Below are 21,898 nucleotides of genomic sequence, written 5' to 3' on the forward strand. Positions count from 1 at the left end.
GGTGGGGACTCGGAGAACTTTTATGTCTAGCAGGAGGATTGTATATGCTCCAATCAGCACTCTGTATCTAGCTAATCTGATGGGCACTTGGAGAACTTTTATGTCTAGCTAGAGGATTGTAAATGCACCAATCAGCACTCTGTGTCTAGCTCAGGGATTGTAAATGCACCAATCAGCACTCTGTCAAAATGGACCAATCAGCTCTCTGTAAAACAGACCAATCAGCTCTCTGTAAAATGGACCAATCAGCAGGATGTGGGTGGGGCAGATAAGGGAATAAAAGCAGGCTGCCCGAACCAGCAGTGGCAACCTGCTCTGGTCCCCTTCCACGCTGTGGAAGCTTTTGTTCTTTTGCTCTTCACAATAAATCTTGCTGCTGCTCACTCTTTGGGTCCGCATTGCCTTTATGAGCTATAACACTCACCATGAAGGTCTGCAGCTTTACTCCTGAGGCCAGCGACACCACGAACCCACCGGGAGGTATGAACAACTCTGGACGGGAGGAATGAACAACTCCAGAAGCGCCACCTAAAGAGCTGTAACACTCACAGCGAAAGTCTGCAGCTTCACTCCTGAAGCCAGCGAGACCACGAACCCACCAGAAGGAAGAAACTCCGAACACATCCAAACATAAGAAGGAACAAACTCTGGACACACCATCTTTAAGAACTGTAACACTCACCACGAGGGTCCGCAGCTTCATCCTTGAAGTCAGTGAGACCAAGAACCCACCAATTCCAGACACACCATTACTTTGGAAAACATTTTAGCAAGCTCTACTGAAGCTAAATATACATATTTTCTGTGACCGAGCAAGTCTATTCCTAGAAATGTCTATACACACCAAAAAATATGTAAAGCAATGTCAAAAGCATATTGCTTGCAGCAGCCAAAAATGAAAATGTTCCAAAATGTTTATCAACAATAGAATGGATAAATAAATTAGGATAGAGTCACATAATGGAATTCAATACAGTGAAGAAAAACAAAAAATACATGCGACATGGATTAATCTCACAAATAAAATGAACAAAGGAAGCCAGACCAAAAGAGTACATTCTATATAGTTCCAATTAAATTAAGTTTAAAAACAGGCAAAACCAATTGATAGTGATAAATGTCAGTTGTTACCATTGGGATTGGGGAACAGTGACTGGGATGAGACCTCTAAACTGCTGGTACCATCCTCTTTCTGATCTGGCTCGTGGTAAGCAGATCCAGATGTAAAAGTTCAGAAAGATGTACACTTAACACCATTTGTATATTCTTCTGCATGTATGCTGTCATTCAACAAAGTGTACTTTAAAAAATCACTGTCACATACAATAGGCTAAAAATACAAATGGAAACATTTAATTTTTTCTCCTCACATACAGAATCACAAATTAACTAGAATTTACCAGTCATACCAACACCCTGTCATATACCTGTTGATATCTCAAGATACTTATAAACAGAAGTAAGGCTGTACACCTACAACTATCTGATCTTCAAGAAAACTGACAAAAACAAGCAATGGGGAAAGGATTCTGTATTCAATAAACGATGCTGGGTTAATTGGCTAGCCATATGCAGAAGACTGAAACTGGACCCCTTCCTTACGCCATATACAAAAATAAACTTGAAATGGATTAAAGACTTAAATGTGGCCAGACATGACGGTTCACACCTGTAATCCCAACACTTTGGGAGGCCAAGGTGGGTGGATCACTTGAGGTCAAGAGTTCGAGACCAGCTTCGCCAACATGGTGAAACCCTGTCTCTACTGAAAAATACAAAAAATCAGCCAGGCATGGTGGTGCATGCCTATACTCCCAGCTACTTGGGAGGCTGAGGCACAATAATTACTTGAGCCTGGTAAGCAGAGGTTGCAGTGAGCCGAGATCATACCACTGCACTCCAGCCTGGGCAATAGAGCAAGAGTTCATCTGAAAAACAAACAACACTTAAGTGTAAAACTCAAAGCTATATTCTTGGAAGACAACCTAGGCAATACCACTCTGGAGAGTGGAATGGGCAAAGATTTCATGACAAAGACACCAAAAGCAATTGCAATAAAAACAAAAATTGACAAATGGGACCTAATTAACTAAAGGGCATTCTGCACAGCAAAAGCAACTATCAAGAGAGTAAACAGACACCCTACAGAATGGGAGAAAATTTTTGCAAACTATGCATCTGACAAAGGTCTAATATCCAGCAACTAACTATAAGGAACTTAAATTTACCAGGAAAAAACAACCCCATTAAAAAGTGGGGGAAAGGCCAGGCGTGGTGTCTCATGCCTGTAATCCCAGCAGTTTGGGAGGCTGAGGCGGGTGAATCACCTGAGGTCAGGAGTTTGAGACCATCCTGACCAATATGGTAAAACCACGTCTCTACTAAAAATACAAAATTAGCCAGACGTGGTGGTGCGCGCCTGTAGTCCCAGGCACTCGAGAAACTCAGGCAGGAGAACTGCTTGAACCCAGGAGGTGGAGGTTGCACTGAGCCGAGATTGTGCCACTGCATTCCAACCTGGGTGACAGAGTGAGACTCTGTCTCAAAAAAAAAAAAGAAAAGAAAAAAGTAGGCAAACAACATGAACAGATATTTTCAAAAGAACACATATACGCGGCCAAGAAGCATATGGAAAAAGGCTCAACATCACTGGTAATTAGAGAAATGCAAATCAAAACTACAACTAGATACCATCTCACACTAATCAGAATGGTTACTATTAAAAAGTCAAAAAATAGCTGGTGCTAGCAAGGTTGCAGAGAAAAAGGAACATTTATACACTGCTGGTAGGAGTGTAAATGCTGGTAGGAGTGTAAATTAGTTCAACCACTGTGGAAAACAGTGTGGTGATTCCTCAAAGACCTAAAAACAGAATTATCCTTCAACCCACAATCCCATTACTGGGTATATACCCAAAGAAATATAAACATTCTGTCATAAAAACACATGCACACATATGTTCACCGTAGCACTATTCACAATAGCAAAGACATGGCATCAACCTAAATGCCCATTAATGATAGACTGGATAAAGAAAATGTGGTACATATACACCATGGAATACTATGCAGTCATTAAAAAAAACAACGAGATCATGTCCTCTACAGGAACTTGGATGGAGCTGGAGGCCATTATCCTTAGCAAACTAATGTGGGAACAGAAAACCAAAAACCAAACATTCTCATGTATATGTGGGAGCTAAGTGATAAGAACACAAGGACACAGAGAGGAATAATAGACATTACGGCCTACCAGAGGGTGGAGGGTAGAAGGTGGGAGGAGGGAGAGAATCAGGAAAAATAACTAATGGGTACTAGGTTTAATATCTGAGTAATGAAATAATTTGTACAACAAACCCCTGTGACACAAATTTACCTATATAGTAAACCTGCACATGTACCCCTGAACTTACGTTAAAAAAAAAAAATTTAAAAAAATTTTAAAAAAAAGGGCTTCCCAAAGAAAAATGAAAAAAAAAAAAAAAAACAGAAAATCTTTTCCTCTTTTAGGCTATTTCTTTTAGTATCACTATTTGTATAAAGGCCTTTGTTTTTCAGACAGTGCCTTTTATGCAGTGAATCTTTTAATCCTTACATAGTCCTGTAAAGTAGTTATTACCCCGATTTTAGAGATGAGGAAAATAAAGCTCAGAGGGTTGAAATGACTTGTCCTTCAGCTAGTAAGAAGCAGAAACAAAATCCTTATGCAACTATGCCTTCTACAATTCAAAGACAGCTCTTGTTTCCTACATCCTGCTTCTTCACTATCATTTTCTTCTAATCACACTAACACACACACTTTGCCCTGCAATGGTGGAAGTCTCCTACGTCTTTCTAGGACCAGTGGTAAAGCTGGTGTCACCAATATCCCTTGCCACTTCACACGCATGAAGGGAAGATGGATCTATATCAAGGAACTACCTGAAGCCCATTTCTCAGTCCTCTAATATCAAATCGAACTCTCTTCCATTCCTCACATCCAGACTTGCTGGGGAAAGTAGGAGGACAAGACAGAACACACCTATGCTGAACATGCTTACACTCACAGGCTTTCCTCTGTTCATCCCCAGGAAACGCTATTATAACAATGTCACCAAACTCGCTTCCATTGAGTAAATCAATAACACCATGAGCTAGCTGCTTACTCATTACTTGAAGATTTAAATGGGGACTTTCTAAAAATTGGTATTCCATTGAAAAGTTGTGGTTGCAGTGGTGCTAAGAGGAACTGGGTGATGGAAATAAATTTCTTCTGAGGATCTGTAAATATTAAATAATCCTCATGAAGTATTAATGGAAAGCATCTGATCTTCTAGAAACCGGGCAAGTATATAATTTTTTGTCTTTGCTCAAGATGATTTAACCTTTAATTCTGTCATGCCAAATGAGTATGACGGAATGGCGAAGGGGGTTGGCACAATAAATCTATTATACTATCTTACCAATACTTTATCTAATTATTATATTCACTTCTTGATAAGATAAATGAGGACTGGAGAGGATCACTAATTTGGCTCAGAGACAACAGCAGCAGAGCTGGAAGGGGCTAAGCTTATCTGATTCTGGAAGCAACACTGTTACACCATCTGTATTTTTCCCATATCTGTATGTTTTCCACAATACATCAAATAAGACAAGTCCCAAAGGTCTGAATGAATTAGAAACTATGAATAGAGACACTTAAAATGGGCACATGCCAAGCACAAGACAGGCAGAAGTCCTGTCTGGGTCTCACGTTCTATGACGCTATGAAAACAGTCATGCCACATTCTCCCTAATCTTTAAAGCCATCTCTCATGAAAGCACAATCCACATGCCTAAAGGGCTCCAAAATTCTTCATGAGCAATGCTACTGCAGATTTGCATGCAGAGACAACATATGCTGGACACCACAGAGTCCAAGGGAAACATGGTACTTTCCGTTAAATCTGTCCTTAGTAGCCAGTTTTTTAAAAAATAACTTACCACTGTCCCACCACTTCCAAGCCTTCCCTTTCTTCTAAGAATTTGAAAAACATCAGGGTTTTCTGCAGCTTTGTAGCTAATTCCCATGATGATGTTTGTGCCTTGCAAAATAAAGAAGGCCACAGGAGAGCAGACACTGCCAGCACAGCAGTCAGGTCGGGGGAGCGGGGGTTGTTTAGAACAAGGTCCTTCATGTACCATTCTGAACCACCATCTTGTGCAGCAGCTCTGGCCGCAAACTACTCCATGGGAACAACGTGAAGACAAGAAGTATAGGGTGCATAAGTAACTTCTGTGTGTAGGCAGATTATTCACTTCTTCGTTCTATCAGTGGAAAGCACTACTGATGATGCAGGGAAGAAACAGAAGTCCTGTCTGGCTCTCACATGCTATGACTCTATGAAAACAGTCATGCCACATCTCCCTCACCTTAAAACTAAATCAGAGTATCAAAACTACTAAGCCAGAAACTTGTTTTTTTCGAATAGGAAGATGTTTGAACTGGAGCTCCAAAACATTGAAGTATCTTTACTAAAAGGGATATACTATCTTCTATAAAGAATTTCCATACACTTTATTTTGTTCCTAGAAAAAAAAAAAAGAAAATGCTCACACAAGTCCACACTTACACAGACGTGCACAGAAGCATGCTTCTTACCAAAAGTTACTTCTCCTTTGCCAGCTTTGTCAAACAGCTGAAAGGCTACCATAAACAAAGCATCAGGGGCACACAGGACAGATTCAAAGGCAACAAATTCTTGAAAAGATATTAATCTGCAACATAAAACAAACATAAAGCAAAAGTCAGTAGCTTGTGGAAAACAGAAGCATATACAAACATACACTGAGGGAAAAAATAAGATATCACTGCCAAAACATAAAATTCAAACTGAAAACATTTATAAACATTTAGCATTTACTTTTACATATAGTGGACTGAAATAATAATGCACAGAATCTAAAAGACATGACAGCATTGACCATGAAGTTACACACTAAATACATTATAATTTCAAATATAACTGTTTTATCCAGCATCATATATGTTTCAGTCTTCCTTCAGGCATGTTTTTGGGTTCTATAATAAAAGTGCAGATACTTTAGACTAAGATGTGACTGCCTAACAGCAAAATAGAGCAACTTTGTTATGCATTAGTATCCTTATACACCATGCAAAAAACGGTTCACAGATATTGATTCACTACTGGTATTTACTGACCACCTGTGAATTGACCTAGGGCTAGTACAAGGGGAATACAGATAAATGATACATGAAACATGACCCCAAGGGACTTCTAGTCTAGTGAGGCAGACAGCACTGGTCTAGAAACAGACTAGTGTATAGAGGAAGGACAAATCATAACACAAGAACTAGTATGGTAATAAAAGTCTTTGTGGCAGAAATGGCATTTGAGCTAGGCCTTAAAAAATGAGTACAACTTGGATATGCGGTAATGGGTGTAGACTAGAGGGCACTTCAGGCAGAAGGCTAATGCAAGAAAGCTAAGGAGTGTACAGGGAAACTGATGAGTGACAGATTTTGTCTGGACAGTGGAGTGCATAAAAGAACAATGTAAAATAAGATTAGAAATATAGGACCAGAGGTGGCCTTGAAGAAAGAAAAGGGCCTGGTCATTCTTCTCTAGGAAAAAGGAGTGACTTTAACTTTCCGAAGGTCAAAATGTGGGTCAAATCTAAGCTTTAGGAAGAACATGAGAGGCCAAGGACGTTTTGACTTCCAAAGAGGAAATGGGTCCATAAAAGCTTTCCTAGATTTTATTTTTTAACAACTGCTATTTTAAGTATCCAAATACTTTAATGATACATTGAGATACTCCAAGTTTCCGGAGGATATGGAAGGAGGAAGAAAATAGGAATGGTTTTCATATATTTTACAGAAAACTTAGTTACTTCTAAACATCCTATAGAGAGAACACATTTTTATAAAAACTGTTACAAAGTGAACTTAGCTGTTTCCCAGAATGTCACCCAATTACAATAATGCTACAAAGAAAGGAAAAACGCAGTGTGTTCAATATAGCATCTCTGTATCATTAACCATCCAAAACACATGCTTCTCAATGCCTGGGAACACTCAGGAAGAGCATGTGTTACAGGGGAGTACTTCCCAAGGACATTTTATCCTCTACTAAGGTCTCTCTCACCGAGACTCTGCGTAGGAGGCAAGAAGGGGGGCAAATATGAGTCAAGCATTCCTGGCTGAACTCCAGGAGCTTACCACCAGCTGTTTGGAGGAAGGGGAGATAGTCATGAGCACACATAACCACTAGAAATTAAGAGTTAACTGTAAAAGAAAAAGTAAAGCACTAAGGGGCATAAAAGGGGTGAATTATTCTGCCTGGAAGAGTTGGGGACTGCTTCATGGCGGCATGGTATTTGAAGAACAAATTTTAAAGCTGAGAAGATCTTAGGGATTATCTACTTCAACCTCCTCATTTTACTTGTGAGGAAACGGAAACTGGAAAAAGTTAATGACCTGGGTTAGGCAAAACAACTGGCTTCTGACATTTTGGCCTGAAAACCAGGTCTCCTGGCTTCCATTTAACCTGGGTAGAATTCCAACTGCTGTGGGAAGATGGTGAAACCATGCCCCACAGGATTAAAGAATTTGGTAACTAACAAAAATTTATTAAGCTTGTCTTGCAGGACAGCAGAGAAGAAAACCATTTGTTACAGTTCTCTCTGTTTGCCACAAAATTGGCTGACAGACTGAGGCTGGTTGGAACCAACATAGCTGACTGGAGTCTGGGCAGAATAGACTTCTTCTCCTGTTGAGTAACCTTTTGACGTTAGAGGGCCAAAAACTCACCCTCAGTTCAAGCTAATGCCACCACTGTCCAAAGGTGCAACCCATGAAGCAGCATGGAAGGGCAACAGCATGCCCAAGACACTTTCCAAACCCCCTTTCCTTTCAGCCAATCACTAATCACTGTTCACCACCTAAACTCCACACTCAGAAGCCCTCCCTTAAATCTATGGCTGTAAGGCTGGTAGAGAAAGTCAAACTTGAGTGTGACTCCTCTCCCCTTACTCAGTTGCCTGGCAATAAACTTTCTTGCTGCAAAAAACTGGTGCTTTGTGTTTGGCTTTCCATTTTGTGCAGGCAAATGGACCGACTTTGGTTTGGTGACAATGGAGAGAGGAGGGAAGGGTAGAGAGAGGACATTCTACACTGGGGAAGCAAAGTACAGAGATGAAAACAAATGGATGTGCTGTATTTGGAGAAGCATGTAGGAGTTACCAATTCTCCATCTAGCAGGTCATGAGGAGCAAAAGACTGGCAAGAGCGAGATGCCAGCCACCTAGGGTGGACCTTAAGGGCCAAGCAACAGAATCTTGACTTTTTTTTCAGACAGTTAAAAATCACTCAGTTTCTGGATTAAGAAATGTCACATTCAAAACTTTGTTTTAGAAAAAGAACTGGTGTGGAAGATGAATTTAAAGGAGAGATGAGATGTGGGAGACAGCCTGGCAGCCAGGGATCACAGGGTTCTAAACCTGAGTGGGGGCCCTAGGAATGGAAGCAGAAGAAAGGCTAGAGAAACACAGCAGAGGCAGAAATTATAAAATGTGGTTAGGACTGGATGTTGGAGGCCAAGGCCAAGGAAACAGGCCAGGATGTTCCCAACATTTCCAACTTGGATAACTGAGTGGGATGATGATACCACCACCAAAGATAAACAAGAAAAAAGAAAAAAAGGTAAAAATTGGAAAGAAGGGACCTGTGGGAGAATGTAACCAACTGTGACTGTGTTTGAGGTAACAGTGGGACATGTAGTACAGTGTCCAGCCAGAAGCCAAAAGAGACCCAATGGACTCAAGAGAGATGCTGGTATGGGCAGAACTGTGTCCCCCGTCCCCAAAAATCCCAACCCCTAGAACCTCAGAATGTGACTTTATTTGGAAATAGGGTAGCTGCAAATGGAACTAGTTAAGATGAGATCATAGTGGAGTAGGGCAGGCACCTAATCCAATATGACTGGAGTCTTTTTTATAAAACAGGGAAATTTAAAAACAGACATGCACACAAGGAGAAAACCAAGTAAAGATGAACATAGAGATCAGGGTGACGCTTCTTCAAGCCAAGGAACACCAAAGGTTGCCCGCCCACCACCAGAAGACAGGAAAGAAGCACGGAACAGATTCTCCCTTACAGCCCTCAGAAGAAACCAACCCTGCTGAACCTCCACCTTGGATGTCTAGCCTCCAGAACTTAGGACAACTAATTTGTTTTTTTTTTTAAAGCTTCCCAGTTTGCGGTAGAGTACTTTGTTACAGCAGCCTGAGGAAACTAATATAGAGGCCAAGATTGGAAACACAGATCTGGCAGTTTTTAAAGAAAGGTTACTTAAAGCTGTGAATAAAAGTGCCCACAAGCATTTCATTTAGAGATGTTTCCTTTTCCTTTTCCTTTTAAGACATGCTGTAATAAAAGAAGACCTTGAGGAATTCACCGACAGGCCCGCCACACTATAGACTTCTGAAGCCGGACAGAAGACAAATGTGTTTCTGGCCCTTTGCTTCCCAGTCGCCACGCCTCCTCACATCCCCCAACCCTGCTGAGCAGGCACCCACAGCCACGCAGCCACACAGTGCTGCTCTCCAGGGGAACTTGCTGGCAGTTTGTTGAGGCCGAAAACAATCATATTTGCTTAATTACCCCTTCACAGACATTAGGTTCATTAAATAGAATCACACTATGCGTTATCTAGAAAAGGGATGTTTTTGGTTTCATGGTCTGAATAAAGAAAGGCTTAATATATATAAAAGGCTTATATAAAAAAAGCATATATAGGAGACCATATACATATGCAAAGCTTATAATATATAAAGACATATATATAATATATATTATATATATGACTATATATTTTATATATATATATATATATATATATATATATGTATGTATGTATATACAAAGCCTTGTCTGGCAATGTTAATGTTTCATAACTGAGAATAGCCAATAAATACTCTGGTATTTCAGGCATGTTACTGATACCAAAAGGTATGTAATTTGGTAATCCTGTTAGATATGAGTATTATACATCTATGCAGGAGGTATATAGATGAACCATAAAATCATAATGTATTATTGTTCACCAAGATCATTTTGGATTTTCAAGGTAATCTGACTAGAAGGCCATGAGAATAATTATGTAGTACTATATTACTTTACAGCATGATACCTAAAAATGTTTATATATATATATGTATATACATATATATATATAGACAAACAGTGCTTCCGTCTTGCTTTACAGATTTAATGAGCATTAACGTAAGTTACAACAAAGAATTCAAGCTTAATCAAGTTCAGACCTGGCTGGTGAACTCACTTAGTTCCTTTTCCACCCGCAACTCCCAGAACTTCTTTGACAATGTTAGATTCCCTTTAAAATGAATCATGCAGCTCTGATTAACTCTATGACTAGAATCTAAGGAACAGTATTTGCCACCACACTTATCTGCAGGAACTAATAGTAGAACATGGGTCAGCTAACATGAAAGCAAATGTACAAGTCACATTTCCACAGGCCTATACCACTCAGAGATTAGGGGAGGGTAGGTTTCTAACTACTCTATTTCATGGTTCTGATGCTACTAGATATTTTCTGTAAGCAAGTCATTTTTGTTTTACAAAGCATTAGAGCTGCTGTTCTCCTTCTGGAAGCCATTTATAACAGTAGCGACTTTGTAACTCCTTTATAGTCCAAGTAATAATAAAATAGCCAAAGCACTGCGTAGTACTATAAAATACTGGGCCAAAGAAGAAAGAGTTGAAAAGTGAATTGCATCTGTATGCTATGCTTACACAATGTAAATATTAATCATTTATCACATATGTGGAAAGGTACTACAAGATATATACCAAAATGATGATGGTGCTTCTTCACTGTAGCGTAACTTTAGGTCCCTCCTCCCCCCAGCTTTGCAAGGGATAGCACTTAGCCTGGAGATATCTGAAATATAATAGAGAATACAGACTAAAAATTGTGATATTATGGAAAAAGTAGGTTAAGTAACATAAGAGAACTGGAAATAAATGACTCAATGAATTCAGAGGAGGGAAAGATTACTGTCATGTTGAGTGAAAGGAGATGGAGAAAGCCTTACTGAAATTGCGAACACATGACACCAGAAGGAAGATGTGTTTGGTGAACATGAACTCAGTCTTGCAATAAAAGTGAAATGTGATCAAGTAAAGATGGGAGATGCGGGAGGAGAGTCCACCAGCTGCAGTTTGACTTCAATGCCTATTCTACATGTTTGGCAGAGGGCAGTTCTAGGGACGCAATCTCTGCTCCCCAGAAATGGTGGTCCAGAGGGGCAGAAGGTAAGCCAGGTACCAAGGAAGGAAGACCAGAGATGAAGAATCACAAGAAATCCATATTTGCTGGAGGAAAACTAGAACAGAAAATACAGTGCCGGGGTTGGGTGTGGCAGCTCATGTCTATAATTCCAGCACTTTGGGAGGCCAAGGCAGAAGGATCACTTGAGTCCAGGAGTTCAAGACTGCAGTGAGCTATGACTGCACCACTGCACTCCAGCCTGGGCTACAGAGTGAGACACCATCTACTAGAAAAAAAAAAAAAGAAAAGAAAGAAAAAAACCCTACAAAGTTGCTCACATCCTGATTATGAGGTCCTGTGATGGTAGACCAAGATCTGATAATTTTAGTGATGTGATCAATTTGTGCATCAGAACATTTAATCTGACAGAGGAGTGTTAAATGAACTTAAGGGGAAGAGACCAGAGTTGAGGAGATGCGATGGCAGAATCCAGGGAAGAGCTACGAAAGCCGAAAGGAGAGGAGAGGGGAGGGGAGGGGAGGGGAGGGGAGGGAAAGAAAAGAAAAGAAAAGAAAGAAAGGAAAGAAAGAAAGAAAGAAAGAAAGAAAGAAAGAAAGAAAGAAAGAAAGAAAGAAAGAAAGAAAGAAAGGCACTTTATACCAAGGGCTGGGAGTGCAGCATCTCCGGAGAACAATTTGACAACACAGCAAGAGTCTCAAAGATGTCTTTATGGCCACTCTGGGTAGCCTATGGGTTAGCCCTGCCCCACAAGAAGCAGTTAGAAAAAAACAAAAACAAAAAAACACCTCTTTACTCCTCAGCCACCACAATTGCACTTCTAGGAGTTTATCCTAAAAAATAATTCATAAATGCGTGCAAACTTTAATCTACAAGGATATTTACCCAGCACTGCTGGTAATGGTGAAAAAAGTACAAACAACCTCAATATACAACAATATGTGATGGACTGAATACAGAACATTGATATGCAGGATACTATCCAACCACTAAAAAGTGTTATAAACAAATCCATGGTAGTAAGTAAAAAGTCATTTACACAATGATGTGTAGAAAATTATTTGTTTCTTAAAAATGGACAATAATATTTTGCATACACACAAAGTCTGAAGAAGGCACACCAAAGTGTTGGCAGTGGATATCATCTCTAGGTGGTTAAATTGTTAGAAATTTAAGATTTTTTTCTGCTTGTCCATATTTTCTAATCCTTTCAATAATATACATACTGCACTGTTCTTACAGTAAGAAAAAAATAAAAATTCATATGAAACAAAATAGCAAAGTCCTCAACTTAGATAGTGGCAGGAGGACTATATAAGAGATTTGGGGAGAGGAAGACAAATTGAAAAAAGAAACAAAGGATCTGAAAGAATCACACTAACGGACAACCTCCAGTTCTTCTCCTCCTCTCTGTCCTCGCTTATTCTCACTCAGCAGAGGCTTAGACCCCATGTGATCCCTTTCATCTCCTGCCTGGCTCCTATCTCCAGGCCAACTCTGTGGCTACGAAAGTTTAAGCAACAGCACATAGGAATTGTTCTGTTCATACTTCAGGAAGTTTGGTTGTAGACAATGTACCATCAAAATCCAATTACCACTTTTACTGAAGGTTCCTAACCACAAGAGTACTTCACAAAAATAACTTCTCCTTATACCTCTTCTGTGTGTTACAGCAGAAGCCAAGCAATTGTCCAGGGTCAATGGCAGAGATGAAAGTAAAATCTAACTCCAAAAACACAGTTCTAACCATCAGACCACACAAGTATATGTGGGTGTTAAGAAAAATCTGGAACTGGACTCTCCTGTGATCACCAGTTTATCCAAATTTATCCAAAGCTTTGGTCTCCATGATTTTTAACATCTTTTAATAGCTTTTGGCTTTTATAGCTCTTCTCTTTCCCGCCCATATTCCTTGCAAATACACATTATTCAGGCAACCAAGCTGTAAACCAAAAATAAAATTCTAAGACCCCTTGATGGACTTCCTTCTTAGCCAAGGCACTCTTCAAATTTAACCTAAAAGACTGTTTCTGGCCATGACGGGAAGTGGGGGTTGGACATGTCTCATTATATCTTAAGTCTGATAAGAAATATTCACAATCTATTCCCTCTGAAGCCTGCTACCTAAGGGCTTCATCTGTACAATGAACACTTTGGTCTCTACAATACCTTATCTGAACCCAGACATTTCCTTTCTAATAATCCCAGGTCTTTAGGTAAACTCCAACCAATTGTCAACCAGAAAATGTTTAACTCTACCTATAACCTGGAAGCCTTCGCCCCACTTCGAGTTGTCCCACCTTTCTGGACAGAATCAATGTATTTCTTAAATGTAATTGATTGAAATCTCATGTCTCCCTAAAATGTGTAAAACCAAGCTGCACCCCGACCACCTTGGGCACATGTTCTCAGGATCTCCTGAGGGCTGTGTCACAGGCCATGGTCACTCATACCTGGCTCAGAATAAATCTCTTCCAATATTTTACAGTCTGACTCTTTTTTTTTTGAGACGGAGTCTCACTCTTGTTGCCCAGGCTGGAGTGCAATGGCGTGATCTCGGCTCACTGCAACCTCTGCCTCCCGGGTTCAAGCAATTCTCCTGCCTCAGCCTCCTGAGAAGCTGGGGATTACAGGCGTGCGCCACCATCCCCGGCTAATTTTTGTATTTTTAGTAGAGACAGGGTTTCACCATGTTGGCCAGGCTGGCCTCAAACTCCTGACCTCAGGTGATCCACCCGCCTCAGCCTCCCAAAGTGCTGGGATTACAGGTGTGAGCAACCACACCGGCCCCAGAGTCTGACTCTTTTTGATAACAAAGCAAATGTGTACCCTGTTCCTATTATATGATAAGCCATGCCCCAGGCACTAAGGATACCTCAAAATTGACAACATCTATGTCCTCAAGGAACCACATTTGCAGATGGGTGGAGGATGAGCACATGCATACATAAAAATTCCAGAATTAGACAACCACTGCATAGGGTAAAATAGAGCAACGCCTTGGAATCATGCTTCTCAGCCCCAGATACTCTATTTCATTGGTCTGTAGAGGGGCCTAAACACTCATTTGGTTTTTTTTTAAACTTCTCAAGTGATTGTACTACATAGCCAGGCTTGAAAATCAACTTCAGGAGAGTAATGGGGTTGGGAGATAAGGCTACTTTGCCTAAAGCGGTCAGGAAAAGCCTCTGGTGAGGAGGTATTGAGATCTGAATGGTGAAAAGCAGCGGCCAGGAAAAGAGTTGGAGGACAGGGATGTGAGGAGAAACATCAGTGCCAGCGCCCAAAGCAGGCCACCCTTGTTAAGTTCCAAAGGGCAGGGAGACCTCGAGCAGCTGGAGAGTAGAGAAGGCAGGGGAAGGGAAAGGGGATGAGGATGAGGGAGGTGCCGGGCATAAAAGGATGCCTGGATTTTATTCCTAGGGAAATCAGCTGCTGTTGAAGGGTTTTATGCAGGGGAGTGATGTGACTCGCCTCAGAGTTAGAAAGGTTACGAAGAACACTCAAGACACTGTGGAGCACGGGCCGCCGGGTGAAGCAGTGAGCCCAGTTAGAAGCGGCTACAGTAGGCTAAACCTGGGTCGTAGCAAGAGAACCAAGGAGCAGTCAAATCTGGGATACATTTTCTAAACAGCTGTTAAGGCTTAATTACGTGGGGTCTGGGGGGGTCCTGTCCTGGAAGTCACAGCAAGCAGTTTTTAAAGCCCAGGAGCTGCTCAGCCCCTCCCCATCAAGAGGAGGCCCAGTGGCCAGGGGCTATGGCAGTCACAGGCACAGACTCTGAGGCTTGGAAGTCACTGAGGATATGGAAACTACCAGTTAGGCAGATGAAGAGGATGCTCCTAAGTAAAGATTTTTATTTAATATGTTAGTTGATGGTCAGCAAGCACACAAACGAAGACTCACGACTCCAATTATGCAAATTCATGACTATTGTTTCTAATCTGATCTGAAAAGAGACAATGAGTGATTACCCAATCTTCTAAAAACCATCAGGAATAAGGTGGACAGAAGCTGAGTCCTATAGGGTCTTACCTTTGCCTAACTGGCTGAATGACCTTGTTGGACAAGTTGGAACAGATATCCTTTCTTGTTCCATAAAAGGTGCTTTTCTCGGATGCCTTTCATTCTAAAATCCTGTTTTCTTCCATTTTAGGTTACAGGCAGCCATTCTGTGCCCACCCTGGCTCCAGAAAGGACCTTGGCATTCCCTGGAGTGCATGTGTTCTGAGGCCAGCAGGGCTCTTCAGCTCTACTATGTACTCTGGTTCAAATCTCGCTGCAGTGTTTGCCAAGGGCCTATTTAAATTCATTGGCTCCAGTGAAATCTGGCAGATTGAATATTGTTCAAACAAGCAGGCTACTGCCTGGCTTTAAAAACCTATTAAAGATTTTTATTGGCAATTTTACTGTATCGTTATCACAAATTTGGCCTATAAATATCACCTCTGCATATATCACTGCCTCCATATTGGCAAAAGTATATATATATATATATAGGCTCTCGTAATTGTGAGCTTAACTCAGTAAGTGATCTGTCCATACTGCCAGCTCTACTTGGCAGCCCATCGCCTTGCAGCTGACTCCAAACAGCAGTCAAGTTGCCCAAGGCTGACTGTGCCAACCAGGGGGATTTACTGGGGTATTCTTATACCTCCAACATTCTCTTTCTTATAAGATGGATCAAGCACATTTGACAGGTATGATTCATCCCTTTTCTAGTTCTCACTTGCTAGTACGTAGTTAATTCAAGTAACACTAGAAAATGTCTTTACTCTTCCTATACCCCATTTATTCTTTCCCTCCCTGTAAAATAACCATTACTCAATGAGATGAGGAGAATCTGCCCCAGTGTCCTTGCCACCTCCCTCAACCTCTCTTTTAACCTTCAAGTCACAAAAATGCTCCGATCACGGCCAATCCCTACAAAGATGATTCTACATCAAGGAAAAGAACCACTACAAGCCTACAAGCTTTTAAAACTAGAGACAAATCATATTCACCATCTCCACAATTCTTTAGATAAATATCCTTTATTTCTTAAATACTAGTAGACATCATTTAAAAACCCCGAAAAGCTATCTTATTATACTACATTGTTCCTATTTTGTATAATTACCAACACTGAGAGCAGAATTTAATAATGTGCATGACAAATAGTCTGCATTTTAATTACATCATGGATATTTTGAGATCTACCAAAGACTTCTTTTTAAAGGAAAAGTCTACTAAGTTTAAACAAACAAAAAACACCATAAATACCTCATTTTAAATTACGTATTGCCTTCAAAGCAGGAGGAAATCAAAAGAGGTAAAGAAAGACCATTGAGGAAAAAAGGGAAAAGTAATTGTAAACCATGATGGAAAACTGATTAAGGCAAATAAAGCAGATTTAAAAACCTAGGTTTCCTAAATCTTTCTTTGTTCTACTAATTAAGGCTGGATAAAAAGGTCTCAATGTTATTAAAATGGCAAATGAAGAAGGATAGTGGGGAAACCACAAATAAGAAATCAGTAACTGAAAAGCCAGCAGGCATATGAATTTGTCAGCGTATACTGGCCTACACTATATAAAGCAGCATGTTGGTTTATTCTCATTACCACTGGATAACCAGGTACTTTGAATGCACCCAAGGACAGAAAGACTGGCCTGCATGCAAGGGCACACACTGCCAAATCCTTCACTTCTCTAACCATAGTCTCCAGTTTGATCATTCCCTTGATTTAGGGCTGAAAAGCACAAAAGTACCTACAGGGTACCGAAGGCACAGCCCAAGGAACAGAATGTTCCCATACATACTTTTAGTTAATGCCCATATTACCTATGTTTGTTCTCAGCTCAAATAACATTTTAAAATACCAAAAATTGATTGAGCTAAACGATTTTTTAATTGGAACACAATGCCTTTCTCAATAGGTTTTTCTGAATCTCTGAAGCAAGGTAATGATGATTAAAACAATATTCTAAAACGAACAAAAGGCACATAAGCATAGGCACACAAAAAGTGACAAGAACATGCTATTTTCTTGCATCTGCCGTTGATCAATTCCTAGTTTGTCACTGTTAAAAAAATAAAAATACATCAGCAGTAAACTAAAATTTTTAAAAAATACATGAAATCAAAATTATACTGATTCCTCTTTGAGAAACATTATCAATTACTCGGGAACATTTTGGCATTTTCTTTCATTCAACTGTAATTCCTACATTTTGGATACACACAAAACCTCTCTTGATGTGACTGTAATAAAAGTCCCTGGCAAAGCAAAAATTAAATGACTGAAATAGCCCTTATCATTTTAAGAAATAAAATTATTCATGGTGTGGGCAAGAAGAAATAAAAATACCCAGGCTTGAGCCAGAATATCACAAAAAAAAGCCAACATTAATATCTGCTGTGCCAGCTGAATTCAAATTAACCCAATTTTTACATGTTAATTAAACCAGCTATTTTCTTCTTATTGTATTTTTGCTTCTTAAATAGTAGAGTCTACAAGTGATTCCCAACAGACTTGTTCCAACAACAATGACGTATTCATTTACTTCTATTATGACCATACAATACAGTAACTGAGCAGTAATTTTTCACAGTCAATTACATGTGTGGTTCTTTATGCTTAAAGATGCTGAAATAATGTGTACTATAGAGCCATATGCCCGAATCTCTAGTCTGCCAGAGGCAGTTGCCTGGGTAACACATTTTCTCTCCGGTTTAGCATAACCCTTCACTGAATATCATTAGGTGTCATTAAATAGCAAACATTAACATGAACTTCAATATACTACTTAGATAGAGTCATTTTACCCATGTAAACAAGTGTTCCATCATTTATCTAAGCTTAAAATAGATTATGATTTTCTGTATTTAAGACCATAAAAAAGAAAAAAAAAGTGCCCATGTGTTGATTTCAGATTGAATTTGCAGAAATTTCTGATGACGTAAGAGAACTCAGACCAAGTTTCAGAATAACATTTCATAATATTATGGTCATAATATTCAATGTAAGCAAAGAAAGATTAGGCTTTAAAATGTACTCGATCCTATAAAATAATTCCATCAATTGTATCTCAGATGAAAGATTATTGTACCCTCTTTAATAAGGACTAGGGAGAATGCACTCAAATTCGGCAACAAAATGAACTTAAAGAATAAGGTGCTTAAAAATCAAGGTATATAGGAATAAATACAAAGTATGGGATCCATTGTGCATTATCTAAAATTTTTTTACAGCTTTATTGACATATAATTGACAAAAATTGTATACATTTAAAGTGTACAATGTGTTATTTTTATATACATATACATTGAAAAATGATTATCACAATCAAGCTAATTAACACATGCACCACATAGTTGTCTCATATAGTTAAAATATTTTAAATGTTCAAAATTTAATGAAGTACTATATGGTTTAGATGTGGCAATATATAGTTTATACAGGGTGTTCTAGAGCAATGTCTGCATTGAGAGTAGCAGCTGGGAAAAAAAAAAAAAAAAGAAAGAGTAGCCGCTGTCTCAAATACTCTCCATCAGCCTACACCACCCCAAACAAGCATCCACATCTAAGAAAAACAATGTGCTTTTTCTACAGTCTCAACAGTCCTAATCCTATTACCACTCCCAAACCAAGGAATTATGATGTTTCTGAGATACATCATAATTTCAGATGAACCTAAATTCAGCCTATAAGCAATCACAGCTTTTCCTCTATCATCCACATTACAAAGGGGCTCCAAATTGTCAATGTTAATTTTAAAGGACACATATAAAAAGAAAATGAATCATCAAATGGCACTACTACCCGAATTTATTTTCTTACCACTCCTAGTATAGGAGAAGGGTAGATTCTAAAATCCTGGCAGCAAGGGCAGGGGGACTCATAGAAGTTCAGGGGCAGCATCAAAGCTGTCCACAGTCAACTTAGAATAACAAAAGAGAGAGGGTGGCCAAGAATAAATGAGTTCTTCTTGGTTATGGGGAATGAGATTCCAGATACTACTACGATGATGAAGTGGAATTTTTTTTCTTTTTCTTGCACCTGTTTCCTAATGCAAAATAAGAAAGAAACAGCCACACAAAATGGTGCAACTTGGACTTAGGTACCATGCTCCTACCTCCACTGCTCCAAAAATATTCATCTGTTTGCAAAAGTAAATAGAACCTCAATCACGAGTTCAGTCTGGGGGCTGGGAAGTAGTTAGCAGGAAAAAAATTATTTGGTTTTAATTGTATATTCCATTTTGGTTTCAGCACTCTGTTTTGAATGAATGTTTCTATGAGGCAAATTATAAGAAACAAATTGACAGCAAGGATAAATAAATCTTTAAGCAAAATATTTTCAAGATATACTGCTATCAGGAGAAATTAAATTGCATCTCTGACACCTCCATGACAATTCACATTCTGAATGATTAAGACATTCTACAATTTCAAATAAAATTTTAAGAAATTAAAACTAAATTGTATAAACGGTAGTGACTGGGAAAAGTAGCCTAATACCTTATGAAATGTTACAAATAAGAATTAAAATAAAAAGTGATTTCTAAAGCTGGGCACAATTGCACGTGCCTCTGTTCTCAGCTGCTCGGAAGGCTAACGTGGGAGGGTCGCTTGAGCCCAGGAGTTTGAGACCAGCCTGGGCAACGGAGTGAGCTCTCATGTCCATTTTTTGTAAAAAAGACAAAAAGTAATTTCTGCTTACAATATGCTGATTAAGTAGCATTTCTAGATTTTACTCCAAATCCACAGTAAACAGAATACTACTATTCCCACCTCTATTCCCAATACAGATTAAAATTTTACTACATGAACATAATTTGCTTGCTTAAAAACTGGCGCAAGATCTGGTAAAGAAAAAGACATACACATCTTTCATATTTAGTCATGTTTTGTTATACAAATAGCCACACCAAAATACAATGAATTCACCTATTAACACAGGCCACCTGTGAATATAGATTTTCTGAAAATAACCAAAGGAGTTTATTATGACTGTTTGAGCCCATTCTATTTAGGTTCATATTTTATTTTGCTCATGGAAGAACCTATATAAATGCTGAAAAGCAGTTAAGAAAAATTTTCTGTCCCAATTGATCTGGCATGTTTCCCCATTCTATGCCATCCTATCTCTGCACTTCTTACCAAGTTCTATGTCTAAAGGTCTCCTAACAATTTCAAGCTTTTTTAAAACGCAGGCCATTACAACACAGAACAGTAATTGTAAAAGATCATCAAAATTAGAAACTGTTGGGAGTACTTTATATTTTTGCAAGAGGAAATTAAGCTACACAACTTTTGAGACTCTCTTGCATTTTCTTGGTATAAGTATTGCAGAAAAGCAACATCAATATTTTAATGCTTTTTCCTTCAGAAATTGGTTACTGTTTTATTTCTTAACTTAGCAAAAAAAAAAAAAAAAACTCTAGGCCAGGCATGGTGGCTCACGCCTGTAATCCCAGCACCTTGGGAGGCTAAGGCGGGCGGATCATCTGAGATCAGGAGTTCGAGACTAACCTAGCCAACATGGTGAACCCCATCTCTACCAAAAATATAAAAATTAGCCAGGTGTGGTGACACACGCCTGTGATCCCAGCTAATCAGGAGGCTGAGTGAGGCAGGAGAATTGTTTGAACCCAGGAGGCGGAGGTTGCAGTGAGCTGAGATCACACCACTGCACTCCAGCCTGGGTGATAAAGTGAGACTCTGTCTCAAAAAAAGAAAAAAAACTCTAGAAGAAAGTACTGAATCAGAAAATCATAAGGCAAGAGAAGGTGGGTTTCAATATGAATTACATGTTCAGCTAAATCCTTAGGGGCTTTCAGGGTTTTGCCCAAGTAGATGCAATATCCTCAGTGAATCTAAAAAGTTATATTCTAAATAACTTGAAGAATAATGTGAACAGCCAAAATTCACTAAAAGAGCAGCGACATGGCTGTCTTTACTTAACTCTACGGCAGAAGGCAGTTAACTTACCAGACCATAAGACATAAATGAGCGAGGACATGCCGAATGGTTGGAATCCACCAACACTTTGGGACATGAGTCCAGTCCCTTGTAAGGATGCTGAAGAATGGGGCAGGATTCTCAAAAATATGAGAATCTAATCCTATATATAGGTGGTTTTTTCAACACAAAGAATTCCTCAGAAAAAGTTTACAAAAACTAGAACAACCCCAAAATACTGTGGAAGCAGTCTACTTGGGGAGGAGAAAAGTGAAGACAGGAGAAGAAAAAAGATTTGCTAAAAGTTTTAGACCTGTTACAAAAAAAAAAAAAGAGGCTCCATAAAATATTACAGTGGTCCTGGGAGAAAAATGACAGCAGAGATTTTAACATGTAAAAATTCAAAGAAGGAACCATAGAGAGAAATCTAAGAATCCCACCTCTTCTGGATAATACCTCACATGTGCATGGAACATTATGTGTTCAATCCATTCAAATTAGACAAATACTTATGGAGTGCTACTATGTGCCAGCCACGTTCTAGGATCTGCTGACTCAGCAGTGAACTAAACAGACAAAAATCCCTGCTTTCGTGGAGCTTACAGTCAAGTGTGTGGGAAAGAGGAGGAGACAAAAAAAAAATTAATGAAACCCACAT

At 39.3% G+C, this 21,898-nt stretch overlaps 1 protein-coding gene across 7 annotated transcripts in view, besides 1 other annotated feature; it reads right to left on the minus strand.

Moving 5' to 3' along the window:
* The window catches only part of SLC25A13 (solute carrier family 25 member 13), a 201,879-nt gene that overhangs the window by 108,960 nt on the left and 71,021 nt on the right, over positions 1–21,898 (minus strand). For 6 of the 7 annotated variants that reach the window (NM_014251.3, NM_001160210.2, XM_047419712.1 and 3 more), the window contains one exon: positions 5,623–5,738. The exons of the other annotated variant lie outside the window; for it this stretch is intronic. In NM_014251.3, coding sequence (NP_055066.1) covers positions 5,623–5,738 — 116 coding nt within the window. The remainder of the gene's footprint in view (positions 1–5,622; positions 5,739–21,898) is intronic. 7 annotated transcript variants of the gene reach the window in all.
* Positions 16,356–19,610: an enhancer, noted in NCBI's record as "VISTA enhancer hs1642". NCBI's record gives its function as "enhancer in: neural tube[7/8] | hindbrain (rhombencephalon)[7/8] | forebrain[8/8]" and the evidence as "EXISTENCE:transgenic organism evidence [ECO:0001131][PMID:17130149]".

The sequence above is a fragment of the Homo sapiens genome, chromosome 7 (genome assembly GCF_000001405.40).
Source record: "Homo sapiens chromosome 7, GRCh38.p14 Primary Assembly".
Taxonomy (NCBI): domain Eukaryota; kingdom Metazoa; phylum Chordata; class Mammalia; order Primates; family Hominidae; genus Homo; species Homo sapiens.